At 37.9% G+C, this 25,651-nt stretch overlaps 2 protein-coding genes across 9 annotated transcripts in view; one reads left to right on the forward strand and one right to left on the reverse strand.

Annotated features, from left to right (window-relative positions):
- The window catches only part of TMLHE (trimethyllysine hydroxylase, epsilon), a 123,942-nt gene extending 102,090 nt beyond the window's left edge, over positions 1 to 21,852 (reverse strand). For all 5 annotated transcript variants that reach the window (XM_047442235.1, XM_047442234.1, NM_018196.4 and 2 more), the window contains exon 1: positions 21,692 to 21,852. The gene's annotated coding sequence lies outside the window, so the exon portion shown is untranslated. The remainder of the gene's footprint in view (positions 1 to 21,691) is intronic.
- SPRY3 (sprouty RTK signaling antagonist 3) overlaps positions 21,486 to 25,651 on the forward strand; it is a 169,874-nt gene continuing 165,708 nt past the window's right edge. For all 4 annotated transcript variants that reach the window (NM_001394353.1, NM_001394354.1, NM_001394355.1 and 1 more), the window contains exon 1: positions 21,486 to 21,547. The gene's annotated coding sequence lies outside the window, so the exon portion shown is untranslated. The remainder of the gene's footprint in view (positions 21,548 to 25,651) is intronic.

Here is a 25,651-nt window from a genome sequence, read left to right on the forward strand (position 1 = left end):
TTATAATTCAGTAATTCAATTCCTCAGGGAAATGTGAAAAGTAAAATGATACATGCATCTAACAAATAGAGCCCCATGGTACATGAAGAAGAAAGAAACTGATAGAATTAAAGAAAGAAAGAAATAATGCAACAATAATAGATGAAAACCTCAAAATCCCACTCTTAATAATGGATATAACAAAAAGAAAATCAGTGAAGAAATAAAAGACTTAGACAACACTATATACTTATGGACTACCTGACATCAATAGAACACTTCACTCCAAAACGCACATTCTTTTAAGCACACATGTAACTTTATACAGAAAAGACAATATGCAAGGTCATAAAATAATTCCCCATAAATTTAAAAGACTGAAATCATAAAGCATGTTCTCTAATCACAATGGAATTAAATTAGAATCAATAGTAGAAAGAAATTTGGGAAATCCACAAATATTTAAAAATTAAGAAAAACATATAAATAATCCATGAGCTAAAGAAGAAACCAAGGGGAAATTTTTTTTGAACTGAATGAAAATAAAACTAATATACCAAAATTTATGGAACACTTCACACCTATTAGAATGGCTATTATCAAAAAGACTAAAGATAACAAGTGTGGTAAGGATGTGGAGAAAAGGGAACCCTTGTACACTTTTGGTGGGAATGTCAATTAGGATAGCCATTATGGAAAACATTGTAATGGTTCCTAAAAAAATTAAAAATGGAATTACCATTTGATCCAGCAATCTCACTTACTGGTATAGCCAAAACATATAAAATCAGTCTGTTGAAGAGACATCTGCACCCCCATGCTCACTGCAACACTATTTACTATAATCAAGATATGAAATCAACCTAAGTATCCATCAATAGGTGAAAGTGTAAAGAAAATGTGGTATGTATACACAATGGGATACTATTCAGCCTTAAGAAAGAGGAAAATCTTGTCATTTGCAACAACATGGATGAACCTGGAGGATGTTATGTTAAGGGAACTAAGCCAGGCACAAAATGACAAATACCACCTTATCTGACTTATATGTGTAAACTAAATAACTTGAACTCATAGAAGCAGAGAATAAACTGGTGCTTCTGAGGGGCTGGGTGCAGGGGAGGGGACTGGGGAGATGTTGGTCAAATGATAAACAATTTCAATTTGACAGGAGAAAGGAGTTCAAGACACATGGTGACTATATTTGATAACAATGTACTGTTATTAGCAAGATGTCAAAATAGGAGATTCCAGGCTTTACTTCTCTCCATAGAAAGTGCAACTAGCAACTATCAACAGACCAAAACATCTTTGTGAAAACCCCAAAACTTGGGAAAAGCCTGAGACACCCATGTGGACCACAGAACTAAATAAAAACCCATTAGAAGGATAAGAGGAATGATCCCACTTTGACTTCAAGGCATCTCCTACTCCCCTAAGTTGGCACAGTGCCATACAGAGACAGTTCTCCTGGGCTTACAGTTTCTACAGTGGGAAAAGAGAACCAGAGGCAGACAACTAGATTTCTAGCATTCCAAGATGCTCCCCAGGAAGCCCACTCTAGTCTCACCTCATGGGGAACAGAAAGAATAATGACACAGCTAGACTGCCTTGGGTCAAGTAGAAACAAAGAAAGGAGGCAGAGCTCATAACCACCAGTGTGTGAATCTTGGTGATAGCTCTGGGCTCCTGCTAGCAGTGGTGCCCTGTCAGATGTACCAGCCAATGGCATAGCCCACCCACAAAGTAGAGCTGATTGCTCCCAGAAGCACAGTGGGAAGTTCAATCTGGCTTAAGTCTCTAGGATGGCCAGCCTCCATGCCCAGCCTCAGACTCCCCAAGGCCCCTTCCAGGGAGAGAGTTGCCCATCACAGCACATTTTGGCAAAGCACAGGGGCTAGGCCTGCCCCCATCTGGGAGAACAAACAGCAGCTTGGCTCAGCCACAAACCCCATCTGAAAACCCCACCCAGACAGGGAGGCAAACCTCAACTATGCATTTCTACTGAGCATAGAAGATACTCCCAACCATCCCAAGCAGCAACTCTGCCTAATCTTGGAGACCAGCCTGCACCCCTGGCCCAACCACAGAAATCAAATGGTGGTAATGCCCAGCCAAGGAATACACCCTGTGATCCAGCCTGATCAGAGGTGATTGTAAAGCCCAGCCAACAACTCTGCCTGATTTCAGAGCTCAGCCAGTGATGCCATAAGATATTGAAGCCCAGCCAGCAGCCTCATATGACCTCAGAGCAAAGGCAGCAGCCCACCAAGCTAGAAAATACAACAGCAAGCTCTGACTTCCCAGGCTTGTTACCAGATGGCCCCGTCCAGTATCACAGGCTAGACAATAGTGAAGGTCCATCCCTGCCAAAGAACTCCTGTAAAGGTTGGAAGAGGTGGTTGCCTCCTCAAATGTAAAGACACCAACATAAAGAAACAAGAATTAAGAAGAATCAAGGAATCATTACATCTCCAAAAGAAACTAATAAAACTCCAACAATGGGTCCTACAGAAATGGAGATCTATATAATGACTGACAAAGAATTCAGAATAATCCTCTTTAAAAAGTTCAGTGAACTACAATAATATATGGATAAAAAATTAAATGAAATTTGGAAAACAATACATGAACAAAATAAGAAGGCTGACGAAGAAATAGAAACAATTTTTTAAAAATAAAAATCTTAGAGATGAAGAACTCAATGAATGAACTGAAAATTTCAATAGAATATATCAGCAGCAGGCTCTATAAATCCAAGAAAAAAAAAACAATCAGTGAGCTCAAAGACAGAACATTTGAAATAATGCAGTCAGAGAGCAAAAAGAAAAAAGAATGCAGAAAGCCTATGAGAATTATGGAACACCATCAAGAGACTTAACATTTGCATAATAATAATACATGAAGAAGAACAGAGAGGAAAAGAGCCAGAAAGGCTATTTAAGGAAATAATGGCTAAAACCTTTCCAAATCTGGGGGAAGATGCCAAAAGTCTGGCAAAGGAAGCATACAGACCTGCAATCAAATTAAACCCAAAGAGGAGCTCACCAAGACACAATAATCAAACTGTCAAAATTCGAAGACAAATAAAAAGTTCTGAAAGCATCAAGATATAAGAAACACATCACATACAAGGGAATATCAATATGGCTATCAGCATATCAGATGTTTTAGCAGAAACTCTGCAGGTCAGGAGAAAATGGGATGATAAATTCAAAGTGCCAAAGTGGGGAGGGGGAAACCCAGCAACCAAGATTACTTTAACTGGCAAATCTGTCCTTCAAAAATGAGGAAGCAATTTTTAAAAAAAAGAAAAAAATGAGGGAGAAGGAAAAGCTTTCTCAGACAAACAAAAGCTAAGAGAGTTCATCACCACTAGGCCTGCCCTGCAGGAATTACTAAAGGGAGTTATTTAAGCTAAAACAGAAGGCCACTAATTAATAACATAAAACATATGAAAATGCAAAACTTAATGGTATAAGTAATACAGTTACATATAGAATAGGAGTATAATGATGGTGTGTAAAGCAATTTTACCTCAAGTACAATGGCTAAAAGTCAAAACTATGAAAAATAACTATAATTAAAATAAATTATCAAGGGATATAAATTACAAAATGCTGTAAATTTTGACACCAAAACCAAAATGTGTGTGTTCAGGGGAATAAAAGTGTAGAGCTATATGTGATAAAAGTTAAGTTCTTATCAGCTTAAATTCACCTATTATAAGATGTTTTATGTAAGCCTTATGATAACAACAAAGTGAAAAATCTATAGTACAGCTGACTCTTGAGCAACATGGTTTGAACTGCATGGGTCCACTTATACACAGAATTTTTTCAACATATTTGAAAAATTTTTTGAAATTTGCAACAATCTACAAAAACTTACAAACCATGTGGCCTAGAAATATAAAAATTTAAGAAAAGGGTATGTCACGAATGCATAAAATATATTTAGATGCTAGTCCATTTTATCATTTACTACCACAAAATATATACAAATATGTTATAAAAAGTTAAAATTTGTCAAAATTTACAAACACAGACTGTACATGATGCCATTCACGGTCAAGATAAATGTAAACAAATATAAAGATGCAGTATTAAATCATAACTGCATAAAATTTACTGTAGTTATACTACTATAATAATTTCATAGACACCTCTTGTTGCCATTGTGGGTGGGCTTAGGTATTATGAGTATCCACCTAAAAAGCTGTGTGATGCTAATCATCTCCACAAGAGCAGTTCATGTCTGCAGTAAATTGCATATCATAGTAAGAAGTGATCTCTCATGATTCTCACATATTTTTCATTGTATTTAGTGCAATGCCATAAACCTTAAACATCATGGGATCCATACAAAGTGCCACTTGTGATGTTGGAAGTGCTTCCAAGAAGCAGAGAAAAGTCATGACATTACAAGGAAATGTTTAGTTACTTGATATGTACTGTATGTAGATTGAGGTCTGCAACTGTGGTTGTCCACCATTTCAAGATAAATAAACCCAGTTAAGGACCATTGTAAATAAAGAAAATTCATGAAGCTGTGGCTGCAGCTATGCCAGCAGGCACAAAAACCTTGTACCTTTTGTGAAATACCTTTTTATCTCATTTTGAAAATGTAGTTTTTATATGGGTACAGGATTTCTATGAGAAAGGCATACCTATAGATTCTAATATGATTTGAGGAAAACTGAAGTGATTATATGACAAGATAAGGCAAACGAAAAGGTGAAGGATCTAAAGCTGGAAAATTTAATGCCAGCAAAGGATGGTTTGACAATTTCAGACAGAGGTTTGGCATTAAAAATGTTAAGAGAAGCAGCTTCTACTGACTAAGAGGCAGCAGATGATTTCTGAGATACCATTAAGAAAATCACCCAAGAGAAAGGCTATCTATATGAACAAGGTTTTAATGTTAATAAATGTGCCCTATACTGAAAGAAAGATACCATGAAGGACATTTATTAGTAAGGAAGAGAAGTGAATATCAAGATTTAAGGCAGGAATGGATAGGCTAACTCTACCGCTTTGTGCAAATGCAGTCAGGTTTATGATCAGGATTTTCCTTATCTATAAAACTGCTAATCTCCGAGCTTTGAAGGGAAAAGATAAACACCAGTTGTCAGTATTTTGATTGTACAACAAAGCCTGGACAACAAGAAACCTTTTTCTGGATTGGTGCCATTGATGCTTTGTCCTTGCAGTCAGAAAGTACCTTATCAGTAAGATACTGACTTTTAAAGTTCTTTTGATATTGGACAATGTCCCTGGACACCCAGAACCCCCATGAGTTCAACACCAAAGGCGTTTAAGGGGTCTACTTGCCTCCAAATACAATGTCTCTAATTCAGTCCCTAGATCAGAGGGTCATAAGGGCCTTTAAGGCTCATTACACCCAGTACTCTATAGAAAGAATTGTCAATGCTATGAAAGAGAACCCCAATAAAGAGAACATCATGAAAGTCTGGAAGGATTACAACATTAAAGAATTCCCCCATGTGTATCAAAAGAAAGAAATGAGGCTATTTTGACATGACTTATTCTTAGGAACCTCAGTCAGTTGCCCAATACACTGTCCCCTAAATGCTAACATTATCTAATACTTTCAAGGGTTGTTGTCCAACTTCTCAGAATTTACTCTTCAAAATATATGTTTGTCAGTTCCCCAATCTTTTGGCGCCTCTTATGTTTTCTGTAGTTTCCATAATTCCTGACAGTGACTATACTCAGGAATACATTTCTTCTAAGTATACGAACTCATTGAAATAGGCTCAGTGTTTCTTTTTTTTTAAATTCTATTATTATTATACTTTAAGTTTTAGGGTACATGTGCATAATGTGCAGGTTTGTTACATATGTATACATGTGCCATGTTGGCGTGCTGCACCCATTAACTCGTCATTTAGCGTTAGGTATATCTCCTAATGCTATCCCTCCCCCCTCCCCCCACCCCACAACAGTCCCCAGTGTGTGATGTTCCCCTTCCTGTGTCCATGTGTTCTCATTGTTCAATTCCCACCTATGAGTGAGAACATGCAGTGTTTGGTTTTTTGTCCTTGCGATAGTTTGCTGAGAATGATGGTTTCCAGCTTCATCCATGTCCCTACAAAGGACATGAACTCATCATTTTTTATGGCTGCATAGTACACATGAAAAAATGCTCATCATCACTGGCCATCAGAGAAATGCAAATCAAAACCACAATGAGATACCATCTCACACTAGTTAGAATGGCGATCATTAAAAAGTCAGGAAACAACAGGTGCTGGAGAGGATGTGGAGAAATAGGAACGCTTTTACACTGTTGGTGGGATTGTAAACTAGTTCAACCATTGTGGAAGTCAGTGTGGCGATTCCTCAGGGATCTAGAACTAGAAATGCCATTTGACTCAGCCATCCCATTACTGGGTATATACCCAAAGGATTATAAATCATGCTGCTATAAAGACACATGCACACGTATGTTTATTGTGGCACTATTCACAATAGCAAGGACGTGGAACCAGCCCAAATGTCCAACAATGACAGGCTTAGTGTTTCTTAAGCATTTTTTTACCTAAGCTAATACAAGTTGAGTATTCCAAATTCAAAAATCCAAAATCTGAAACATTTTGAGCACTGACATGAGCTCAAAGGAAATACTCACTGGAGAATTTTGGAATTTGGATTTGGGGATTAAAGATGCTCAACTGGTAAGCATGTAATGCAAATATTCCAAAAAAAACAATCTGAAATGCTTCTAGTCCCAAGCATTTCAGATAAGGAATACTCAACCTGTACATTCTTCAAAATAAAATCCTTTTCAAAAAAAAAAAAAGATGCCATCATTGTTATAGAACAAGGCATGAAAGCCATAAAGCCCCAAACAATAAATTTCTGTTGGAGAAAACTGTGTCCAGATGTTGTACATGACTTCATAGACTTATGACAGAGCCAATTAAGTTAATCATGAAGTAGATTGCACATATGGCAAAAGCAGGTGGAAGGGTGAAGGGTTTCAAGATAGGAATATTGGAAAAGTCCAAGAGCTAATAGATACCATGCCACAGGAATTTTAAAATTTTAAAATGACGACTTGATGGAGATGAGTGCTTCCGAACCAGTGCCAGATTATGAGAAAGAAGATGTAGATGAAGCAGTGCCAGCTATAAAGACACATGCACACGTATGTTTATTGCGGCACTATTCACAATAGCAAAGAGTTGGAACCAACCCAAATGTCCAACAATGACAGACTGGATTAAGAAAATGTGGCACATATACACCATGGAATACTATGCAGCCATAAAAAATGATGAGTTCATGTCCTTTGTAGGGACATGGATGAAGCTGGAAACTATCATTCTCAGCAAACTATCGCAAGGACAAAAAACCAAACACCGCATGTTCTCACTCATAGGTAGGAATTGAACAATGAGAACACATGGACGTAGGAAGGGGAACATCACACACCGGGGTCTGTTGTGGGGTGGGGGGAGGGGGGAGGGATAGCATTAGGAGATATACCTAACACTAAATGACAAGTTAATGGGTGCAGCACACCAACATGGCACATGTATACATATGTAACAAACCTGCACGCTGTGCACATGTACCCTAAAACTTAAAGTATAATAATAATAATAATAAAGAAATTGACACTAGACAATACAGAAGAAGGGTTCTGATTATTCAAGACTGCTTTTTTACTTCTTTTACAATATGGACTTTTCTATGATATGGGCACTGAAACTAAAGCAAATGGTGGAATAATTGGTACCATATAGGAACATTTTTAGAGAAATGATAAAGCAAAAAATACAGACAGAAATTATGATGTTCTTCTGTAGTTACAACGAGTGTTCCTGCCTCTCCTGCCTCCCGTTCCACCTCCTCCACCCCTTCCACCTCTGCCACTCCTGAGACAGTGAGGTCAACCCCTCCTAGTCCTCCTCCTTCTCAGCCTACTCATCTTCACATAAGAATACAGTATATAATATGTATAACATAAAAAGTATGTGTTAATTGACTGTTTATGTTATCAGTGAAGCTTCTGGTCAATAGTAGGCTATTAGTAGTTAAGTTTGGGGGAATAAAAAATTACACATGGATTTTCGACTGTGCAAGAGTCAGAAGCCCTAACCCCCACATTGTTCAAGTGTCAACTGTACTTCCATATTATACAAACTCTTCCTGAGAACAAATAAAGAGAAAATACTCCCATACTCATGTTTAAGGCAAGTATAATCTTTATATCAAAATCAAACCAAGACAACACACTTACAGACCAATCTCACTCACAAACATGCTTGTCAAGAACACAAACAAAATATATTAGCAGAACAAATCCAAGAAAAAAAGTAAAGACATGAATCATGTTCAAGGTTGCTTAAATTTTAGAAAGTATATTATAGAATTCAACAAATTAATAGGTGATAGAAGCAAAATACACTCACTTCAACATGTTCAGAAAAAAATAGATAATATATCCATTCACAATATTTTAAAAGTCTCTCAGTAAATTAGGCATAGAATGGAACTTCCTTAGCCTGTTAAGGGGTACTAAAACATAACAAACATACTTAACAGTAAGATATAAAAGCATTTCCATTTATTTATTGATAGTGAGACAAAAATTGATACAACCATGTTGAAAATGAGTTTGACGTTTTTTATCTAGTAGAGTTGAGGATATGCATACACTTTATCCTAAAGTAGTGGTTTTCAACAGGCATCTTGCCACCATCAACCGGCATCTTGCCATGTCTAGGGAGTGTGTTGGAAATGTGTATGGGGCAGGTTGGTTATCACAATGATTGGAGGGGAATTATTGACATTTAGTGGCATCAGAGATATTAGGCATCCTGAAATGTTCAGGACAGTCCCAGGCAATGGAGAATCCTGCCTAAACTTTTTAATATTAACCTTGACATGCCTACAAATGAAAAACCTGTTTATAATTACCAGAGGCCAGAACCTACCTCCTTTTGTTACATATAAACATGGTATTTTTGCATGAATTTACTATATACTGAATTTTCTAGGAGTAAATCTACCAAGTAAATTGAGAGAACAGTATATTTTCTTTTGTTCAGAAATTTATCCAAAATAATTTTTTTAGAAAATCATGTCACCAATGATAATTACACTTTGTGGTATTATATTTGTAGCCGTCACATTCATGGCGATCAATGTATAGGTGTAAATATTTGGCTACTTCAGGTAGTCATGTTTCAGCATTTACATATTTAAATACATTATTATAAATCACTCGCATTTAATTTTTCCTTTAAATTCTAGTTAGGACATTGTGCTCATATTTTAAATATGTGTATAGGTAGGTTATGCTATCTATGAATTTCACTTCTGGTTAATAAAGAAATTGGTACAAAATATTTGTTACAAAAAGGGAATTGGTAGAGTCTTTCAAGATGGCTGACTAGAGGCACAAGACACTTGACTCCTCCACAAAGAAGAACCAATCAACTGGGAACGACCAACATCACAGCTGACAAAAGTTGCAATACTAGTTGAAGCAAATGAGACCAGCCTAAAATTTAACAGAGTAATCTACTGCACGAGACAGCTATACTGGGCTTTAAATAAGGTCCTACATATCCCTAGGGGTCTCCAAGTCTGTGCACATGCTCGGGAGAAACTGAACAGTGCCTCACTTATCTACTAGTCTTTGCCTAAATGTGTGGTGTTATACAGTAGCAAGTAATAGCAAAGGTAGATTTCTAAACTGCGTGAATCTGGAATGTACGCCCCAGCCCACACATGGATACTTTCAGCAAATTGTGGAACCCTCACTGGCAGAAGGTGTTTAAGCATAACATATGAACAATCACTGGATGACCACTAAAATATGGCCCAGCAGTGACCCCCTGGAAGCTAGCATAATAACAACAACAACCAAAAAAACTGAGTAAAAGCATCAGAGGCCACACCCTGTGGGGGAGGCCAGAAGGCAGTGGAATAGCAAAATGCTGAAAGAAAAATACCCAAAATTTTCAAGTAAGAATTCTATATCCAGCAAAATTATCCTTCAAAAATCAATGTGAAATAAATAAATTCCACAATACACAAAGACAGAGAATTCATTGCTAACAGACCTACCCTACAAAAAATACTAAAGTCCTTGAGCTAAAAGGAAATGACACCAGATGGTAACTTGAATCCATAGGAAGAAATAAAGAGGATTAGTAAAGGTAATTATGTAAGTAAACATAAAAGAGAAAATACATACTTTTCTTACTTTCTTTTAAAGGAAAACTACATAAAACAGTATTTTTAAAACTGTGTTGTTGGGCTTATAACATATTAAGATGTAAAATATACTGCATTAATAGCACAAAGGATGGGTGGAGAAAACTTCCCTGTGTTGCTGAAATTAAATTATTATTAATCTAAAGTAGGTTATTTCAAGTTGACATACATATTGCAATCCCCAGAGCATTCAATAAAAAAGCTCTAGAAATTACAGTAAAAACATCAAAAAAGGATTTAAATGGTATGCAAGAAATTAGCTATATAACATAAAAGAAGGTAATAAAGGAGAAACGGAGGAACAAAGAAGTCAAGAAACATTAATGAAATAAATGAATAAAGCCAGATGTACATCTATAAGTATAAATGGGTTAAACAGTCCAATCAAAACAAACATTGTGAGACTGGATGAAAAACACACTCCAAGGATATGCCATCTACAATAATGGAAAGACACACTTTAAATGTGAAGACATAAACAGGTTAAAAGAATAAAAGAATGAAAAAATTGTATTAAAAAAAAGAGCAACCATAAAAGAGCTGGAGTGGTTAAACTGATATCTAGTATCAGACAAAATGGACTTTAAGAAAAAAATGTTATAGAAAAAGAAGGACATTTTATAATGATGAAAGGTTCTATTCATCAGGAAGATATGTAACTATAAACATATACACATCTGACAACAAAACTCTCCCCAACTAATTCTATGAGGCTGGTCTCTGACATCAAACAAAACAAATACATTATAAGAAAAGAAGCCTACAATTCAACTTCCCTTATGAATACAAATGCAAAATTCCTTAACAAGATGTTAGCAAATCAAATCCACCAGTATTTCAAAAAGGATTATATATCATGACAAAGAGAGATTTATTCCAGGAAGGTAAGGTTCGTTTAACACCCCCAAATTAAGGTAATACCCTATGTTACATTAGTTAATAATGTATTGTGTAGAATAAAGGACAAAAACCACATGATCATTTCAATAGATGCAGATAAGCCATCTGACAAAATCTAACAGTCATTCATGATCAAACATAAAAACTTAACCAATTAGTAAAACTTCCTCAACCTGATAAAGAACATCTACGAAAAATGCACAGCTAACATCACATTTAGTGATGAAGGATTGAATATTTCCCCTAAGACCAGAAAAAAAACAAAGATGTTCACTCCTGTCATTCCTATTCAACATTATACTGGAGATGCTAGCCAGGGGAATTAGGCAAGGAAAACAAGTAAAAGGTATCCAGGCTGGGGAAAAAAAATAAGTCAAACTGTCCTTGACATAATCCTGAATGAGAAAACCCTAAGGAATATACCCACACACTCACATGCACACATACACATGGACACACACACACACAATATTAAAACTAATAATTCTACTCAACAAAGTCACAGGATACCAAATCAACATGCACAAAGTCAATTTGTATTTCTATACACTTGCAAAAAATCATAAAGTGATATTATAAAAAATAATTCACAATAGTACCAAAAATTAAATACTTGGGAATAAATGTAACAAAAAAGTAAAAGATTTTTACACTGAAAACTACAAAACATTGTTGAGGAAAATTAAAGAAGATCTGAATAAATGGAGAGGTATTTCAAGTTCATGGATTGAAAAATCCAATACTGTTAGTTGGCAGTTCTCCCCAAACTGATGTATAGATTCAGTGCAATCGCTACCAAAATCAAAGCAGAGGCTGGGCATGATGGTTCATGCCTATAATCCCAGTACTTTGGGAGGCCAAGGCAGGAGGATAGCTTAAGCCCAAGAGTTTGAGACCAGCCTGGGCAAAATAGGGAGACCACATCTCTACAAAAATATTGTTAAAATAGCCAGGCATAGTGATGCACATCTGTAGTCCCAGGCACTCAGGAGACTGAGGTGGGAGGATCGTTTGAGCCTGGGAGGTTGAGGATGCAATGAGCTGCAACTGTGTCACTGCACTCCAGCCTGAGCAACAGAGCAAGACCCTGTCGAAAGAAAGAAAGAAAAGAAAGAAGAAAAGAAAAGAAAGAATGAAAGAAAGAAAGAAAGAAAGAAAGAAAGAAAGAAAGAAAGAGTGACAAGATGATCCTAATATTTATATGGAAATGGAAAGAACCCAGAATACCCAAAACAATGTTGAAAAAGAAGAACAAAATTTTAGGATTCACCTTTCTCAATTTAAATACATATTACAATGCCACAATAGTCAAGACAGTAGGGACTGGCATAAGAATAGAAATATAAACTAATGGAACACAATTGAGAGGTCGGATATAAACCCTTATATTTATGGTCAATTGGTTTTCAAAAAAGGTTCCAAGTCAATTCAACAGGAAAAGGTTAGTTTTTCAACAAATGATGATAGTACAGTTGGATATCCATATGCAAAAAGATTAATGAAGACCTTCACCTTACACCATACACAAAATAACACAGAATGAATCAGAGTCATAAACGAAAGACGTAAAAGTATAAAACTTTTAGAAACATAGGAAAACCTTCATGATATTGGATTGGGCAAAGAATTATTAGATACAACATCAAAAAACACAATTGACAAAAGAAAAAAAATAACTTGGACTTTATCAAAAATAAAGAACCGAGAGCCCCTCTGCCACTGCCATTGCAGCAGCTCTGTCCTTGCTGCCCTAAGACTGGGGAAGGAATAAAGAGCCTGAGGGATTTACTTGCACCTCCAACATGCCACAGTTGCCATACAGAATAGAGCCAAGTCTCTCATCTCTGTGAGCCTCCAACCCCCTGGTCTTCACCAAGCAGGGCCCCTGGCTTGGGCCCACAGAACAGCTGCCCTACCTCGTGGCTGAACATACCCATTGTCAGTGGCTCTGTGTTGCTCTGGGGTGGAGCTCCCAGAGGCAAATGAAATGCCCTCTGAGACTGCCACTGCAGTGGTACTGCCTTTGCTGCCCTTGGATTGGGGAAGGAACAAAGACCCTGAGTGCTGTACTCATACCTCCATCATGCCACAGCCAACCTAAGAAGAGGCTAGTCTGTCTTCCCTGTGAGCTCCCTTCTCCCCCTCCCCATTCATCACCAGGCAGGGCTCCCTGGCTCGGGCCCACAATGCAGCCACTCCACCCCAGGATGAATGCTCCAAATGATAGTAGTTCTGCATTTCTCTGGAGTGGAGACCCAAAAGACAAGTGAAAGGCCCTCTGCAATTGCCACTGCCAAGGTCCCTGCCCCTGCTGCTCCCAAGCTGGGGAGGGAACACAAAGCCTGAGCTCATCTGAAGGCTGCATGTGAAGCCCAAGAGTGTCAAGCCAAGCTCTGCAGCCAGCACTCAAGTGGGAGAGGAGCCCACACCCTCAGAGCACCAAGAGGGAGCATGGCCGCAAACACAAGGAAATAGAGGAGTCATGTGGCTGAGCAAGAGCCTACCTAATGGCCATTACACTTAAGCACCATCTACTGGATCACAGCCCAAATTTTGACACCAAAAATACTTACCTAATATATCCCTCTGTGAAACGAAGAACAAGAATTCAGCTACAAATAAAGACCCCGCACAAAGCTCCAGCACTCTGACAATGTCCAGAAATGAGGTCAACTGACTATACTCAAATCACACCACAGTTAAAGAAACATTAGCCCACACACAGGAGAAAGAACCAGCACAAGAACTCTGGCAACCCACAAAGCCAGAGTGTCTTTTTTCCTCCAAACAACACTAGTTCCCCAGCAAGGATTCTTAACCAGGCTGAAATGGCTAAAATGGCAGATATAGAATTCAGAATGTGGATAGGAATTAAGATCATTTGAGATCCATGAGAAAGTTGAAACTGAATCCAAGGAATTTAAGGATTATAATAAAACAATACAGGAGCTGAAAGATGAAATGGCCATTTTAAGAAAGAACCAAACTAATATGATAGAGCTGAAAAACATAATACTGTCCATGAAAATTTCCCAAACATCACTAGAAAGGACAACATTCAAATTCAGGAAATTCAGAGAACCTCTGCAAGAACTATACAAAAGGACCATCCCCAAGACACATAGTCATCAGATGCTCCATCAAGCTAACAGCGACCTTTCAGCAGAAATCTTGCAAGTCAAAAGAGATTGGGGGCCTAGATTCAGCATTCTTAAAGAAAAGAAACTCCAACCAAGAATTTCATATCCAGCCAAACTAAGCTTCATAAGCAAAGGAGAAATAAGATCTTTTTTTTAGACAAGCAAATGCTAAGGGAATTCATTACCATCAGGCCTGCCTTACAAGAGGTCCTTAAGGGAATGCTAAATATGGAAACAAAAGACTATTACTGGCCACCACAAAAACACACTTAAAGACATAGGCCACTGACACTATAAAGCAACCACGTGATCAAGTGTACATAATAACTAGCTAACAACATGATGCCAGGATCAAATCTGCACATATCAATATTAATCTTAAGTGTAAATGGGCTAAATGCCAAAATTAAAAGGTATCCAACGGCAAATTGGATAAAGAAGCAAGACCCGGTGGTATGCTGTCTTCAAGAGTCCCATCTCACATACATCACATACAATGACACCCATAGACTCAAAGTAAATGGATGGAGAAAAACCTACAAAGCAAACAAAGAACAAAAAAAAGCAGGGATTACTATTTTAATTTCAGACAAAATAGACATTAAACCAACAATGATGAAAAAAGGCAAAGAAGGACATTACAAATGGTAAAGAGTCAACAAGAAGACTTAACTATCCTAAATATATATGCACCCAACACAGGAGCACCCGGATTCATAAAACCAGTTTTCAGAGACCTATGAAGAAACTTAGATAACTATACAATAATAGTGGGAGATTTCAATACCCCACTGACAGTATTAGACAGATCCTCGAGGCAGAAAACTAACAAAGATATTTGGGACCTGAACTCAGCATTTGATCAAGTGGAGCTAACAGACATCTACACAACAATCCACCCAAAAACAACAGACTATACATTCTTCTCATCTGCAGATAACACATACTCTACTGACCACACAGTCAGCCATAAGACAATTCTCAGCAAATTAAAAATTTTTAAAACCAACAAAAACAAAAATCATACCAGCCACATTCTCAGACCACAGCACAATAAAAATAGAAATCTATACCAAGAAGATTGGTCAAAACTATAAAATTACATGGAAATTAAACAACCTGCTCCTGAATGACTTTTGAGTAAACAGTGAAATTAAGTCAGACATCAATAAATTCTTGGAAACTAATGACAACAAAGATACAACATGTCAGAATCTCAAAGACATAGCTAAAACAGCATCAAGAGGAAAGATTATAGCATTCAATGATAAAAAAAATGAATGAAATCAATGAGGCTGGTTCCTTGAAAGAATAAATAAGACAGATGGACTGCTAGCTAGACTAACAAAGAAAAAAAGAGAAGACACAAGTAACCAAAAACAGAAATGATAAAGGGGACATCATCACCAACCCCACAGAAATACAAAAAAAAAAAAAAAACCCCATCAGAGACTATTATGAACATCTTTCTGCACACAAACTAGAAAACCTAGAATAAACTGATAAATTCCTGGAGACATATAACCTCCTAAGACTGAACCAAGAAGAAATACAAACCCTGAGCAGACCAATAACGAGTTCCAAAATTGAATCAGTAATGAAAAGCCTACCAACCAGAAAAAAACACAGGTCCAGAAGGATTCATAGCTGAATTCTACCAGACATATAAAGAAGAGCTGGTACCATTCCTATTGAAACTATTCCAAAGAATTGAGGAGGGACTCCTCCCTAACTCCTTCTTTGAGGCCAGTATCATGCTGATACCAAAACCTGGCAAGGACACAACAAAAAAGGAAAACTTCAGGCCAATATCCGTGAAGAAAGTAGCATGTCAAAAAGCTAATTCACCAAGATCAAGCAGGCTTTATCCCTGGGATGCAAGGTTGGTTCAATGTATGCAAATCAATAAATGTTATTAATCACATAAACAAAACTAAAAACAAAAATCACATGTTCATTTCAATAGATGCAGAAAAGCCTTTTGATAAATTGCAGCATCTATTCATATTAAAAACCCTCAAAAAACTAGGCACTGAAGGAACATACCTCAAAATAATAAGAGCTATCTATGACAAACCCACAGCCAACATATACTGAATGAGCAAAACTGGAAGCATTCTCCTTGAGAACTGGAACAAGACAAGGATGCCCACTCTCAACATACTACTGGAAGTCTTGGCCAGAGCAATCAGGCAAAAGAAAGAAAAAAAAGGCATCCAAATAGGAAGAAAGGAAGTCAAACTATCTATGTTTGCAGACAATATTATTTTATACATAGAAAACCCCTTTGTCTCTGACAAAAATCTCCTAGATCATATCAACAACTTCAGCAAAGTTTCAGGCTACCAAATCAATGTACAAAAATCAGTAGCATTTCTATACATCAATAATGTCCAAGCTGAGAACCAAATAAAAAATGCAATCCCATTCACAATAGACATAAAAAAAATAAAATACCTGAGAATACAGCTAACCTGGGAGATGAAAGATATCTGCAATGAGAATTACAAGACACTGCTGAAAGAAATCGGAGATGATACAAACAAATGAAAAATCATTCCATGCTCACGGATAGGAAGAATCAATATTGTTAAAATAGCCATACTGCTCAAAGCATTTTATAGATTCAATGCTATTCTTATCAAACTACCAATGGCATTCTTCACATAATTAAAAAAAATTATTCTAAAATTCTTATGGAACCAAAAAGGAGCCCAAATAGCCAAAGAAATCTTAAGCAAAAATACAAACTTGGAAGCATCACATTACTTGATATCAAACTATAGAAGTCTACAGTAACCAAAAGAGCATGGTACTGGTACAAAAACAGACATATAGACCAATGGAACAAAATGGAGAGCCCAGAAATAAGGTTGTGTGCCTACAGCCATCTGATCTTTGACGCTGATGAAAACAAGTAATGGGATAGATACTCCCTATTCAATAAATGGTGCTAGGATTGCTGGTTGCTGTGTGCAGAAGATAGAAACCAGAAGGCGTCTGCCTTCTTTACACCATATACAAAAATCAACCCAAAATGGATTAGACTTAAATGTAACAACTAAAACCATAAAAACCCTTGAAGAAGACCTAGGCAATACCATTCTAGACATGGGCCCTGTCAAATATTTCATGACAAAGACATCAAAAGCAATGGCAATAATAATAAAAACTGATAAATAGCACCTAGTTAAACTGAAGAGCTTCTGTACAGCAAAATAACCTATCAATAGAGTAAATAGACAACACACAGAATGGGAGAAAATATTTGCAAACTAGGCATCTGACAAAGTTCTAATATCTAGAATCTATAAGGCACTTAAATTAACAAGCAAAAACCAAACAACCTCATTAAAAAGTGGGCAAAGGATATGAACAGACACTTTTCAAAAGAAGACATACATGTGGTCAACAAGCATATGAAAAAATGCTCAACATCACTAATCAATGAAAACCACAATGAAATACCATCTTACACCAGTCAGGATGGCTATTACTAAAAAGTCAAAAATAACAGATGTTGGCGATGGTGCAAAGAAAAGGGAACACTTATACACTGTTGGTGGGAATGTCAGTTAGTTCAGCCACTGTGGGAAGCAGTTTGACAATTCCTCAAAGAACTTAAGACAGAACTACCATTTGACCCAGCCATCCATTATTGGGTATATACCCAAAGAAATATAAATCGTTCTGCCATAAAGACACATGCATGCATATGTTCCTTACAACACTATTCACAACAGCAATGACATGGAGTCAACCTAAATGCCCATCAGTGGTATATGGAATAAAGAAAATTTGGTACATATACACCATGGAATACTATGCAGCCACAAAAAGAATGAGATCATGTCCTTGGCAACAACATGGATGGAGTTGGAGGCCATTATTCTAAGCAAAGTAACACAGGAACAGAAAACCAAACACCACATGTTCTCATTTATAAATGGGAGCTAATATTGAGTACACATGGACACAAAGAAGGGGACAATAGACACGGGGGCCTACTTGAGGATGGAGATTGGGAGGAGGGTGAGGATCAAAAAACTATCTATTGGGTACTATGCTTATTGCCTGTGTGATGAAATAATATGTACGCCACACCCCTGTGACACACAATTTATCTATAGAACCAACCTGCCCCTATACCTCTGAAACTAAAATAAAAGTAAAATAAATAAAAACCTTTGCCCTTCAACATACAGTAGTAAGAAAATGAAAAGACAAACCACAGACTTGGAGAAAATATTTTCAAACTACATATCTGATAAAGGACTTGTATATAAGCAACTCTTACATCTCAATAGTAAGGAAGCAAACAACCTAATCAGAAATGGGCAAAATATGTGAGGAGACATTTCTCCAAAGAACATATACAAATATCTAACAAGCAAATAAAAAGATGCTCAATTAGCCATTAAGGAAATGCAAATCTAAATCACAATGAGATACTTCTCCACACCCTCAAGAATAGCTACACATTTGAAAAAAACAAAACAAAACGGGGAAATAACAAATATGGTGATGATGTGAAGAAATACATTGCTGGTGGTTCATATAAATCTAGTAACTGTAAAATAGTACAGCCCCTTGGGAAAACAGTTTGGCAGAAAATTAAACATACAGTTATAATATGACCAAGTAATTCCACTCATAGGTGTTTAACCAAGAGAATTGAAAACGAATGTCCACCCAAAAACTTGCACACAAACGTTCATAGCAGCTTTATTCATAATAGCCAAAAGATAGAAACAATCCAAGTGTTCATCAACTGATGACTAGATAGACAAAATGTAGTATACTGATGCAATGGAATATTACTCAGCTATAAAAAGGAATGAAGTATTTATATATGCCACAACATTAATAAACTTTGGAGACATTATTTAGATGAAATTTTCAGGATAGGCAAATCCATAGGCACAGAAAGTAGATTAGTGGTTGTCTGATGCTGGGAGTAGTAATGAAGACTGACTGCAGATGGGCAAGGAAGATGTCACTGACGTGATGCAAATGTTTTAAAATTAGATTGTAGTGATGGTTGCACCACCCAATAAATTTATAAAATCACTTTAAATATGCAAATTTTATGGCATGTAAATTATCCTAAATACAATATTTAAACACTGTGAGCATCAAGAAAAAAAGAGAACTTTCATCTCCTTACTTTGACAATTTATTAGGGATCATACAGAGGTCATTAGGCTGTTTGTTGTTGTTGCTGTGGTGGTGGTGGGTTGTGGTTTTCCCATGAGAGTCGAGGGTCATGCAACCATTTGGTCTTTTAAAATAAAAATTTTTAAATCAATTAAAAAAGAATATTGCTGGCTTGAAATTTGGAGTAGTCATGGGACAAAGAGAAGTGGATGGATTTTTTAAAATATTCAGGATGTAGAAGTGACAAGATTTTGTAGCAGTTAGATATAGGGAGTGGGGAAAGGTGAGGAGGCCTCAGACTGAGTATGCTTAAAGTTGAATTCCTGTTGTCCTCCCGAACTGGCTGTCCTGTGCTGCCAATCTCAGTGAATGGATCAGCATCCTGGCACAGAGTTGACATTCATTGATTGCCTTTGGAGTGAATGAACAGAGTATGATGAATAGAGTGAAAATATAGCTAAACAAGGCAGACACCAGGTCCTGCCAAATAGCCAATGCAAAACTCACCCTTCAGGTTGGCTCAGCAGATATCCAGCATAATTTTTTTCTCACCTTTCAAACCATTTGGGAAATCATGAGGTATTTTCCTCATCCAGAAGAACACTCACCTACATATCAGCCACTCCTTCCCTAGAACCTACAGGTATGGAGCAGGCTGGGTTTTTTCAAGAGCCTCTTATCCTGTAAATCTTTACACAGGGCAATGGCAGGTGCATGTACAGCCCATATGAGCCCAGGGGATGCTTGGTATTATAGAAAGGGGATCACAGTGGTGCCCAACTGATGGATCCGTGTTCAGTTTGCAGGAAGAGACTCTTCCCACCAAAGAGGTTTGTTAATCCTGGGGTCCCCCTCCCAGCCCCTGGAGGCATCAGATACAGCTGTCAGAAACATTGTAAACACCCAGTGATCCACTTGGCTGGTTTTACTGTTGTTCCCAGGGTTGACAAGCAGAAATACAGAACAAATGGTGGTTCCTGAAACAGAGGCCAAAACAAGGAAGTGATCTGTTCCAGTCCAAGCTTCCAAGAAATAAAGAACTAGGTGGGGCACACTAAACAAGCCCCCAGACTCAACCACCCCAGTAAACATTCCCTTCATCACACTGGTTATGAGATAAAGTATAAGTTTTTTAAGCCTTATTATAAATAACCTTACTTAACGTCTTCTGGTTGTTGTGAAAATTATAGTATTTTGCAAAATATATGTTCACCATTATCATTACCACCAGTTCCTTAATGAGGAGAAACCAGAAGTTGACACCAAAATGTTGATCCATAATGTTTATAGTCCTTCTTTGTCTTTATAGTTAATGTAAAATAAACTGTATGTAATTTTTACTACAGTGTGTCCTGAAAGGGCAAACCAAGCTACAAGCAACTCTAAAAGACTACTACTGTATGGGAGTGGATTATGAAAGTGTTTCTTAAATATGAGAGCTCAAGTTTTTCTTTCAGCGACTGAGTTAAAGCACGCAACTCATTTATCATGAGACTTTTGCTAGGCAGTGTACTATGTCCACTCAACACACATCATTTTAGGCAATCATCTGGTTAAAACGTTTAATAGTATGGCATTCACAAACCCATTCTTCAGAGTTGACATTCAATTAATGGTTTGAATGTCGTTTCCAGGGCAGTCAGGAGTATTTAAAGGCTTTTCCATTGTTTTCGGAAGAGAAAGAAAACTTCCTAGCCTAACTTACTTACCCAGAGCCTTGCTCCAGAGGGGGCAGACAAAGGGTAAAATCTGGGCAGAGAACATTAGTGGATATGAGAACGAAAGAAAGTGCTGCAAGATCTTGCAGACAGCTGAGTTCCACCTTCCACTCTACTGCCGAACAAAGTGAGGCAGGAAGAGGGTAGGGACTCGCTGAAAGCTAAACACCAAGTCAGTGACAGATCCAGGGCTGTAAAGTCCGACCGAGATTGAAACAATGTACACTGGGCGTCAGTCCCAACGCGAGCTTGCTCCAGCTCTTCCAGCTCTTCCTGAGCGCTAGGCCCATCCGGCCTCACGCTGATCTCCGGGCAGACTCTGTCGCGCAACTGGCACAGATCGTGACGACAACCCTGCGGCAAGGCAGGAGTGGCCTTCCTCTCCGCCAGGGTTAAGGTGAGTACCACCGCCCTTGGGCCCAGCAGCCCGGGTGAGAGCCTCCGCCGCCCACTGCGACAGGCCTGAAAGCGAGCGCCTGGGTAAACCCACCCGTAGCACCCATGGGGACACCCCTTCCCTGACCCACGGGACGGAACCCACCTGTGCTGGAGGTCGTGACTGCTAACTCCGCAGAGTGGGCAGAATTCCAAGCAAGGAGAGTCTCGGGAGGCAGCCTTTCACCCGCCTTTTGCCTTTTCACCCCCAAAACTGTCGGCCCCACGCTCCCCTCCCCCAGCCCGCTCGGGCCCAGCGGAGAGCCTGTAGGCCCCGCCCCACTCCTTCCGGCCGTGCAGGGTGGGTGCCTCTGGCGCCCGGGACTTCGCCCGGTGCTAGGGCGTCAGTCTCCCATTCGGAAGGACTGGGCCGGGGCACTCTATTCAATCGCCTTTAGTGAACATACTTGAAGCTATAGGTGCAGGGATGAGAAAAAACAGGCCCATAAAGCTATAAAACCTGGGTCCCCTGCCTGCCATTTCAGTGCTCCTCCCGAGTCCTCCCACTACGCTTCTATTTATGGTAGTTTATCCAGGTTTACTAGAAGTAAAATTCTACTACCTTTCCACCATTTTCTTGAGTTTATGGAAGTCATATACCGCTCATTACTCCCATCGATTCAGCTGAGCATCTTGAACCCAGGGTCCAGATACAGTGCTACATACAGTGAGCACTAGAAGGGAATACCCATTAGGAATGAACACCTTATGCAGGTAAAAATTTAAGAACGATACATATTACAAAGAAGGACCAAAAAGTATACTGAAATAGTATATGCAATGGAAATCCAAGGCAGATTTAAAAAATGAGAGTAAGAACAACAAAAAAAATCAAATGCATATATACTGAAAATGGGAAATTGTGCAGTATTATATTTATTCGAGATTAAAAGTGTTAATCTAATGTCAAAAAAGCAATAAAGGAATTGGTTTGTAGAAGTCAGGATCAACAAAAGAAGAAAAAGCCTCCACATCTTTGCCCTGGAATTCCTTCTGCCATGAATGCTCTTACCCGGCACTTGTTTATTTGGAAAACGGCTACTCGTTATTTTTGACTCAATTTAGATAGCACCTCCTCTGTGAAGCCTTCCCTGTCTTTCCCAGATAAGTTTGTATATTTTTTTTCCCTAGGTCCAGTATGCCCAATGGATCTCGTACAGGCCTCAAGAGTACCACTTACTCTAGATTATAATTTCTCTTTCTGCATGTCTTTGTCCTCTAATGAATAAGTAGCTTCTTGAGAGCAGAAAACTTGTGTTTTTCATATTTGTTCTCCAAGCACAGAGTCTAAAATGTCTATATATTTAATAAATATTTGTTAAAAAATTTCTAGAACCAGTGTGTAAACAAAAGGACATATCCAGAGTGTGAATGTAACATAAAGAGGAAAAACTAAGTACAATGAGAATCTAGATTTAGTCTGGCTGGTATTCATTCATGCAATAAACATTAATGAGTGCCTACTGTATGCCAGGCACTGTACTAAGATCTGGGTGTAAAATGATAAACAAAGCCCAGATATAGTCCATGCCCTTATGCCCTTATGTTTAAAGAACAAATTGGAGTTGGCCAGGCAAATGGGAAAACAAAAAAAGTTTTGGGCAGAAAGAACAGCATGATCCAATGTCCTGTAACAGGAAGATCATAACTGTAGCAATTAGAGTGAATGAGCTCACTTAAAGCTAAGCTGAAATCAACACAAAGTACTCAGAAAAGGCAACAGGTTGATAGACAATACCTGTTTGTTTGAGTCAGTAAAAGAAGCAAGTTTCCTTAATAATAGTAACCAACATTTATAAAATGTGCACTATATGCTAAACACTGGGCTAAGTGTTTGTTTTATATCAAACACTTAAGGTAGATGATATTATTTCTACTTTAAGGATAAGGCAACTGAGGCACAGATAGGTTAAGCAATTTTCACCAGGATCACATGGCAGATAAATTTCAGAGCTGAGATTCAAACCTAGGTAATTTGGCTCCAGACTCTAGGGAGCCTGGATATTTTACTTTTAATAAAATATAAATTTTACTTGTAATAAAATAAAAGTCAGATATTTTACTGTTTCCTCTCTCTGTGTGTGTGTGTGTAGCAGGTCACATGGTGTATGGCACAGAGTGGAACTTCTTAATATTTTTGGAATGAATGAATAGCTGAATAAAAGCAATAGGTACAAATGTGCTAGAAAACAAAATAGAAAAAAACAATAGTATCTGGGTCTTTTTATGTTCCCGCCACACCAGCTGTTCCTAGAACACACCAAACTTGTTCTTGTTCTGCTTCCAAAATATAATCTGCTCATGCATTTGTCCCTCACTGTACTGCTAACATTCCGGACCAGAGTTTGGCTTTTTTTTTTTATCTGTGAAGGGTCAGCTGGTAAATATTTTAGGCTTTTTGAGTCACATACAGTCTTTGTCTCCAGGTATTAAATTCTGCTTTCATAGAGTGAAAGAATTCACAGACAATACATAAATGAATGCGTGTAGGTATGTTCCAATAAAAGTTTATTTACAAAAACAGGCAAGAGGCAGGATTTGCCCTGTGGGCAATAATTTTTAGACTCTTGCTCTAGGCCAAATTATCACCATCTCTTGCATGGACTACTGTATTAAATGATGTCTGAGAGCCATCATCTTTGACTAACATCTACACCTTTGTTTTATCAGCCTCTCAGTGAAGCTTTAGTGATCTCTAATCATATTCATAACCTTGAGTTCTTGAAAGGTGGTTAAAACTATGTGTTAATTGTGATTGTGAACTTCGATTTATCAAAGATGGTCTTTAAAAGAACTACTAGTGATCTTTGAAAGAGTTAAAAAATTAAAGAAGGAAGATTTATTATAAAAGTAGTGACTTTTAGCCAGAAAATAAATATTCTGGACACAGTGCAATGTTGAATTTGGCTGAAGCTTTGGTCTATGACAAGAATCCTGCTAGGTATTCTATAGAGAAACAAATAAATGCTAAAACTTTTCAGAAATCATCTAGACCATACAAAATTTTCCTCACCTATTCATGGACAAAAATTTGGTAAAGCTGAAGGGTATATTAATTTGTGTTTCGGTTTATGAACATTTCTGACTCTGGGGATATGAACATTTCTGACTCTCAACAGAAATGTGATTCAGCATAAACGTAGTAACCTATACAATTAATTTTGCAGTGAAGAAGTATTAATTAGGACTCATTAGTTAAAAGTTATCAAAACCTACCTGAAACTAACAAGCAAAAGAGAGAAATTTATGGGAAGATAATAAGGTGTTTCACAGAACTCAAGAAGGATTAGAACAATCAAAACTTTTAAAAAGGCAAGGTATAGTTAGGCCTCAAGAATCGTCAAAAACAAGGATTCCAGTGACATTGACTCTATCATTCTTTTACCCCTATTTTTCCCTGCACATTTATCTGGGGTCTCTCTCTCTCTCTCTCTCTCTCTCTCTCCTCTCTCTCTCTCTCTCTCTTCTCTCTCTCTTCTCTCTCTCTCATCCCCTCGTTCCCTTCCTTGCTTTCCTCCCCACTCCTCTCAAGCTCTTTTTGTTTCCCAAGTCCATGTAACAGTAGATACGGTTACGGACACCTTCCTAGATTTTCATATTACAGATTCAACCACTGAAGAGAGACACTAAGCCATATCAGGTCCTCTGAAAAGCAAATCTACAGATCTATCGTGGGTAATGGCTGGCAAGATAAAGAGGAGATTACAGTACAGCTCTATGGAAGTCTCAACCACCCCAACAGAGACTGCTAATTAGAGGAATCCTGCGTTAGACAGAAACAGCCCTAGTACACCTCTTGTGCTCAGAGATTGGCTGGAGATGCCTGGGAAGGGAATGGCCTTGGATCAAATGATGCAAAAATAATCCCAAAAGTGCTCCAGCTGGAGACTGTTAGCTGACTCCACTCCTCATAGTAGGTTTTCCCTTGAAAGATCTGAGAGGCACTCCCTGGTTACCATAGACCTTTATGGTCCTATCTCCATAAATCTATGAGGGATTTATTGGCCAAGTTTGAGACTGGTGGCCACCTAAGACCAATCAACTGTAGCTAGGTGAGCGATGTCAC

The sequence above is a fragment of the Homo sapiens genome, chromosome X (assembly GCF_000001405.40).
Source record: "Homo sapiens chromosome X, GRCh38.p14 Primary Assembly".
Taxonomy (NCBI): Eukaryota; Metazoa; Chordata; class Mammalia; order Primates; family Hominidae; genus Homo; species Homo sapiens.